Source organism: Homo sapiens, chromosome 18 (genome assembly GCF_000001405.40).
Source record: "Homo sapiens chromosome 18, GRCh38.p14 Primary Assembly".
Taxonomy (NCBI): Eukaryota; Metazoa; Chordata; class Mammalia; order Primates; family Hominidae; genus Homo; species Homo sapiens.
Window position 1 is genome coordinate 1,962,895 of NC_000018.10, and position 7,246 is coordinate 1,970,140.

A 7,246-nucleotide genomic window follows, 5' to 3' on the forward strand; every position below is an offset into this window, starting at 1 on the left:
GTAGTAGACATGTGTGTATATATACACATATATATGTAGTAGACATGTGTGTATATATACACATATATATGTAGTAGACATGTGTGTATATATACACATATATATGTAGTATATGTAGTATATATGTGTGTATATATACACGTATATGTAGTATATATGTGTGTATATATACACATATATATGTAGTATATGTAGTATATGTGTGTATATATACACATATATATGTAGTATACATGTATGCTACATATAGGGGTTGTATATATGTATATATACATATATACACATGTATATGTTTTATATATGTATATATACATATATACACATGTATATGTAGTATATATGTATGCTACATCAGGGGTTGTGTATATGTGTGTGTGTGTGTGTGTATATATATATATATATATATATATACATGAAACAAGCCTAGCTCAGGCTGAGCACATGGTGGGTACTAAGTACATGTTATTTCTTTATCTCCTCTTTCTCTCAGGAGTGATGCAGAGTAAAGACAGCATGTATTGATGCTGGAAGACGGCTATAATATCTTCATTATTTCTTTCCTATGTCAAGCTCAGAGCCTTCCACATTTTTTTCTAATATTTATTGGTTTTGAGCTAGCCCCGTTCAGAACACAATATTCTAGGTATGATCTGTCCAGCGCAAACTTGACTGTAATCTCTTTTGATTTGAAAGTGCTTTCATTGGCAACACCTGAGATTTTCATGACCAGTGTTGTGACACTTAACTCCCTACAGGCATTTGAACCAATCAGTAATACTCCAGGCCTTCTCTACAAGTCAACTTACTGGCAAACTATGTCTCTTTTGACTCATGCCTATGAAATTGCCCTTGGAGCATGTGCTGAAAATTCTATTCCTACTCATTGTTATCCTGTTAGATCTTGACATTTATGCTTGCCAGCATTCTTTTAGGTATGGATAAACCTCTCTTCAAAGCTTCACATCAGATACAAATTTTACCAGTGTTCTCTGGTGTCTTTATTTTCAGTAAAAACAACATCAAGACCCAAGTGGTGATGGGATCCTTCAACACAACATATGTTTCTCTCTATTTTGGGAGTGGTCACCCCAACAGCATTCTAGTCAGGTAACCAATGCTGAACCCTACTATATACTATCATCAAACCCATATATATTTTTTTCATAAAGATTTGTGAAGAAAGTTCACAAACCTTCTTCATACTTTATACTTCCTTCACAATAGGAGCTCCATTATGTAGGAATTTGTACTGGCTAATCCAAGCACCTAGCTTCTAGCCTGTGGAAGCAGAGGCACATCCAAGCAACAAAATGTTGGGAAAGAAAGGTTATGACCACTAAGATAGTATATCAAATAGTTTTCAGATGAAACCAATAAAAATCAGATTTAGACAAGAAGGCTGAAGACCAGACTGAAGAGATTTTGAGTTTTGAGTGATGGATGTTAATGGATTCTGTTCCCAATGGAGCAATACGCTGGCCTCACTGTTCTAGGGAACAAATACGGTCATTTATCAAATCTGTCCCTTCCCCAAATAAAGTGACTCATCTGTGTAACATTTTAACCTAAAGAACTCTGCTGTGAGACCCCCTCCAGAATGGTGCAAAAGTCAACAGTTGAAGCTGTTGGGCATGATGAAATGGGGCCTGGCTCTAAAAACCCCCACTAGCAACACAGAGTAGTGAAGGCAGTGACCGTCTCACTGTGTGAGCACAGGGAACCTGCTCTAGGAACCCCCAGAATACCAGACTGGGAAAAACAGCTGGAAAAAGGTTTGTTCCCTATAGCTGTGCTAGTAAGAGAAATGCCACAGAAACTGGGCATAACTAATTATTATTCTTTTGTCTTGGGAGGACTTGGGGAAGTTTGGGAATAGATGTATTTAATATAACCAAAATACTAACAGTGATTACAGCTATGGAGATTTACAGGCATTGAGATTGCACATAATGAGTAATTTCACTATTTTATTTATCTATTACCTACATTCTCTTAAAATTCTCTCTAATGAGCAGGATTTTTTAATCATAGTAAAGAATAACAAAATTAAACATAATTTACCGAAACACGGTAGGATTCTCATAAGCTTCATTATTTCACATGCTTCATTAGCATCCTGCCTATCCAATAGGCAGAATGGTTTAGTCTTGAAAATTCTCCTCATTGCAAAAGAAACAATCTTTTGAAGAAAAGTTAGAAATAGGATGGAAGAAGAAGCAGAAGAGGCAGAAACAGAAGCAGAAGCAGAAGCAGAAGGAGGAGGAGCAGGAGGAGGAGGTAGAGGAAGAAGAGGAGGCGGAGCCAATAAAGACACTAAGACATCAGTTGACACATGGCCAAATGCATTGTCTTATTACTTCGCAGATACCTGCTTGTTGCCATGGACATGAAGTAACTTTCAAACAACATACTATTGTATACATATCTAAGTATAATTACAGCATTACAAAACAGCAAAGGACTTTTAGTAACTAAGTCACACTGGAGTCTTGGCCTGTGTGGGAGACTATATAAAGATTGTAGAAGGGTTTACCCAAAAATAATTTTTATCTCTGTGAATGCTAATTCCCCCAAGCTGATTCTGAATTGTATGCAAAACAGCAAATTGTAAAACAGCCCTGATTAGTCAACTAAAGTCCAAAAAGGAAATAAACGGAAACTCTTACACAGTTCGGCATATACCCAACATAGCCACAAGTTTTGAATTTGTAATACTTGAACTTTAGAGCAAGAAAGCTTAGGCTTATTTTGCTTCTTAAGCTTATATTGAGAGAATGTGACAGCAATAAAAACTCCTCAGACAAGCCTTGACTTAATTAGCAAATGTTTTGTGTGCTCTTTTCAGGACACTGAACACCATTCATTACCAGAACCAAAGGTCACAGTGTGTGAACAGACAATAAAGTTCAGGGTTCATAACCAAAGTGAAGCCAAAGAATACCCAGGGTATTTTTTCAGAGTGTAAGTGAGTTAGATTTAAGCATACTGCAAGGAAGAAAGCTTCTCAACAACTCTAAATTTCTGGATGGATGGAAGGAAGGAAGAAAATAAGGAAGGACCCAAGTTGAAACAAGTATTTAAATGAAATTATCATGAGAAAGCAGGATCAGAGACATGCAAACATTTCAAGGATTAATTGTCATCCTAGATTGCAACCAAACACAAAACAAATGTAGTAACCAGTATACATTAATGCTAACTCATAGGAATGAAGATTTTTTTAAATGATGATAAAGCTTTTATGCTTCTCCCTTCTGCAACTGAGCTGTGATGAAGGAATGGCCTCTGAACACTCCAAAATAAGTAATTACTATTCATTTAAGAAACATATATTATTCTCTACAATTTCCAAGTTAGTTTGATAGACATTGCAGAAGATTTGGAGGAATAAGACAGACTTTATATGTGCATAAAATTTGTAATTCAAGGTTCATTATGATAACTGACATTTTAATAATTCAAAGAACTATAGGAGTTCAAAGAGAGAACTCCTTTTAGTCTAATATCTTAAGAAAGGCATTATAAAAGAGGTGGCATTGTGCCTGGGCCTTGGACAATAGATAAGACTTCAACAGCGAGAATGAGAGGAAAGTGTCTAGTTTAGACAACACTGTAGGAGACGGTGCAGTGTGAAGAAATAGGAGGGGAAGCCCACTGGCTAAAGGATTTATGGGATAATGAATGATAAAAGGAGTTTGGAACCAAAATGATGATCTTAGGGAAGTTCATTTGGGCAGCTAATCATGATGAATTGAAGGGGAGAGCCACTGGAAGTAGTGTGACTCCTTAGGAAGTTATTGCAACACTAGAAAGAGGAGTTAAGAAGAGCCTGAGCTAAAATTGAGTTGTAAGAGTAGATGGGGGAAATGGAGGTAAAAGTAATGATTGAAGAGGATTTGCTCAATAGATAATGCTCAGAATGAGAAAATGTGAGAAGAAATTGAAGGCCTACATTCTTTGGAGTGATATTTGAAGTTCATCAGGTAAATAACAATTCCTAGGGAAAACATGTGGAAAGATGGTAGAAGGGAATGGAAGGAAGACATTGGGGGAGAGTGGGAAGGCTGAGGTCAAGGCAATGATGAAGAATCCAGAAAAAATAAAAACATCATAGTCATGGAGTCCAAGCAAAGGCAAAAATCTAGAAGCAAGTAGCCAAAAGTAGCTCAGGATGTAGAGAAAACAGGAAGGACAAACAAAGATAAAGCCATTGGATGTCATGAGATGAGGACTACTGCTAATTGTTAAGTAAGGAGGGTAGAGCCCAGGCAACGCTTCTCCAGCCCATGTGGGTTCTGAGACTGCTGAAGTGATTCAGGACAAGGTCTTGTGAGAAGAAAGAAGAATACACCAAAGAAAAGTGAGATTTCAGATCATAAAATGTTGTTACCTACACTTAGCATCATTTCACATCCTAACTGCAGGTAACAAAATGAGCCACAGATACTAGGGGTGAACATCTAACAGAGATCAAGGGATGTGTTGATGAAGAAGAAGCTAATTTTGCAAAATTCTGAATCCGACTGCGGTATTTCTTTTGCATGTGATTTGGTGCTTTGATTTTGGAATATGAGGTTGGTCTTAAATTATCTGGCCTGCAACGGACACGTTTGAATAAAGTAAACAGTGGAAAAGTCTAGATGCTGAATGTTAGGGTTGAGGTAGAGTAGACAGTGAGAGAGCATAAGTAGTATGTAGAGAATAGAGTTTTGTGAAGTTTGGGAGTAAAGGAGGGATTTGCTAGCCAGGCATGGTACTGTGGTCCCAGTAGTCCAAGCTACTCAGGAGCCTGATGTAAGAGGACCGCTTGAGCCCCCGAGTTCAAGGCTGCAGTGAGCTAGGACCACACCACTACCCTCCAGCCTGGGTGACAAAGCAAGATCTCATATTTGAAAAAAAAAAAAAAATGATTTGCAATGGCCAAGGAAATCTTTTTAGGCAACTTTTTAAAATTTTTTTTTTCATTTTATGTTTGTTTAGGATAAGGTGGTCAAAGCTGTCCATTTAAAAAGAGAAAAAAAATCTAGTTGAAAGGAAACTTCCTCAAACAAGAGAGGAAATTAGTTTAGGAAACTAAATTCAGATGAGATTAAAAAAATGGATATGATCTGGCAAAGATAGAATAACTAGACTTGAAAAAAGAAAAGGGGTTTAAAAATAAAGAAAATGATCAAAATGTTCTTCGTGGGGAAGATGAGTAAGAATAAAAATTTTGCAGTTGAGAGAAAAGAAGTTCAAGCAGTCAGTGTCAGGCAGCTTTACTCTTCCTAATGAAACTGGATTTTACATCTTCTGTTAAGATTAGTAAGACACGGGTAGAATTGTTGGCTTGACATGAATGGTAAATACGAGGAACAACTTGCGAGGAAACAAAAGTGATGTGAGATGAATAAAATGAAATGGAGAAGAGCAAGGTGAAGTGAGGTGGCGTGAACTTGAGCGGCTGAGGACAGAGACTTATTGCCGATTTTTCCTGCAGTGCTTCACAACCCAGGAATAAAAAATTATATGATGCCTGTGTCCCAGGACACAGATAACACAGATTCATTTCACTGCCTTTTAATGTTTAATTCCTCCAGATACACAATTTGACTTCTTTGTATTTGAACTTTTAGCATCATGACTGTAGTCACTTCATTTTTTTTTCTTTTATGTTTTTCCTTTTATATTTACCTGCTGAGGTTTTATTTTTGCCAAAAACATTGTTTGGCTCAAGAAAACATATGATTATAGTGTAAATAAAATCGTCCTCCAGAGAAGAAGGGGCTCTCTTTCTTTTTTTTTTTTTTCGTTTTTTTTTTTTTTTTTTTTTGAGACAGAGTCTCACTCTGTTGCCAGGCTGGAGTGCAGTGGCACAATCTCAACTCACTGCAGCCTCTGCCTCCCGGGTTCAAGCAATTCTCCTGTCTCAACCTCCAGAGTAGCTGGGACTACAGGCATGTGCCACCACGCCTGGCTAATTTTTTGTATTTTTAGTAGAGATGGGGTTTCACCATGTTGGCCAAGCTGATCTTGAACTCCTGGCCTCAGGTGATCCGAGAAGGGGCTCTCTGCCTATGACCAGTAGCTCAACAGCATATAAGGCCTAGCAGGGCTGAGCAAAGCTGATTCTCAGCCACTGACTGGAGCTTGTGAGTAAAGTCTGTAGACATTGAGAAAAGAACGAGCAGAGTTGGGTTTCACATGCCATTTTGCGGCAGAAACTTATCCTTCTTAGTTAGGTGAAGTCAACTTTGAACTTTTCATAGAATGTCTTTCAGAATTTTCATCTGCACAACTTGGAAAGCCTTGTGGTGAGATAACTGCACTTGCATTTTTAAATCTTCACAGTAGAGCTTCTTCTGTACTCAGGGGAATGCCCACTGAAGGTCAGAGGAGCCCTGAGCTTCCATCAGCTGTTTGCTTTTCCTGCATACAAATGTGTAAACCCCATGCTGTGGCTTTATTAGCATGAGGAAGTTTGGTAATCCAGGTTGTTAATGACCTTCCATCTTCCCTGAGATACATGAGGATATAGCCTAAGGCAACTCATTAGAGACTCATTTGCATTTTTGAGAGCCATTATTAGAAAATGTATAGATAAGAAAAACAAAAATCTCAGAAGACACAACAATGAAGCTCAGCTCTAAAGCCCTTGGATAAGGTTCCGGAGACCTTAAATCTATATATTCAAATAAAACCTTACATTGAAACTGTAATTATGACAAAGAAGTATCTTTTGGGTCCCAATTACCCCACCAAATAACACCTTAACATTGAGTGCCCTTAAAATATAGAACATTCCAAAAATGTATTATGTTTTATTTATAAGGAAGGTATTATATATATTATACTGGTGAAAAATTAAAATCTAAAATGTTTAAATGACTTGTTAAACTTGCATGGCTCTTAAGTTGCAGAGCTAGCATGAGAAAAGGGTACTCCAATTTTGACTTCAGTCCTCTTTTCACTGTATTCTATGATAAAGTCAGGGGTAGAATCTGCCATGCTGGTCACTTTCCAATTAGATTGGGTCACTAGAATCCAAATCCAAGTCAGAGATTTGGATTCTAGTGCCAGTTATGTTCCTAATGAGGTATGTGATCTTAAAAAGCCATTTTATCTCTCTGGATACAAGTTTCTTTTTCTGTTAAAAATAATAAAAGAAAGAAAAGGAAGGAAGGAAGAATGGATAGACGGAAGGAAAAGAAAGAGAAAGAGAAGGGAAAGGATACTAAATTCAAAGCTATTTTATTGAAGAACAAAA

The 7,246-nt window shown here is 37.2% G+C and overlaps 2 annotated features.

Annotated features, from left to right (window-relative positions):
* Window positions 2,589-2,758: an enhancer, noted in NCBI's record as "experimental_47822 CRE fragment used in MPRA reporter constructs". NCBI's record gives its function as "activates a minimal promoter by MPRAs in K562 erythroleukemia cells, with activity observed for both the introgressed and non-introgressed 18:1965569 variant alleles {active_cell/tissue: K562}" and the evidence as "EXISTENCE:reporter gene assay evidence [ECO:0000049][PMID:34662402]".
* Window positions 6,168-6,726: an enhancer, noted in NCBI's record as "NANOG hESC enhancer chr18:1969063-1969621 (GRCh37/hg19 assembly coordinates)". NCBI's record gives its function as "activates a minimal SCP1, AML or CMV promoter by ChIP-STARR-seq in naive and primed H9 embryonic stem cells {active_cell/tissue: H9 hESC(naive and primed)}" and the evidence as "EXISTENCE:reporter gene assay evidence [ECO:0000049][PMID:30033119]".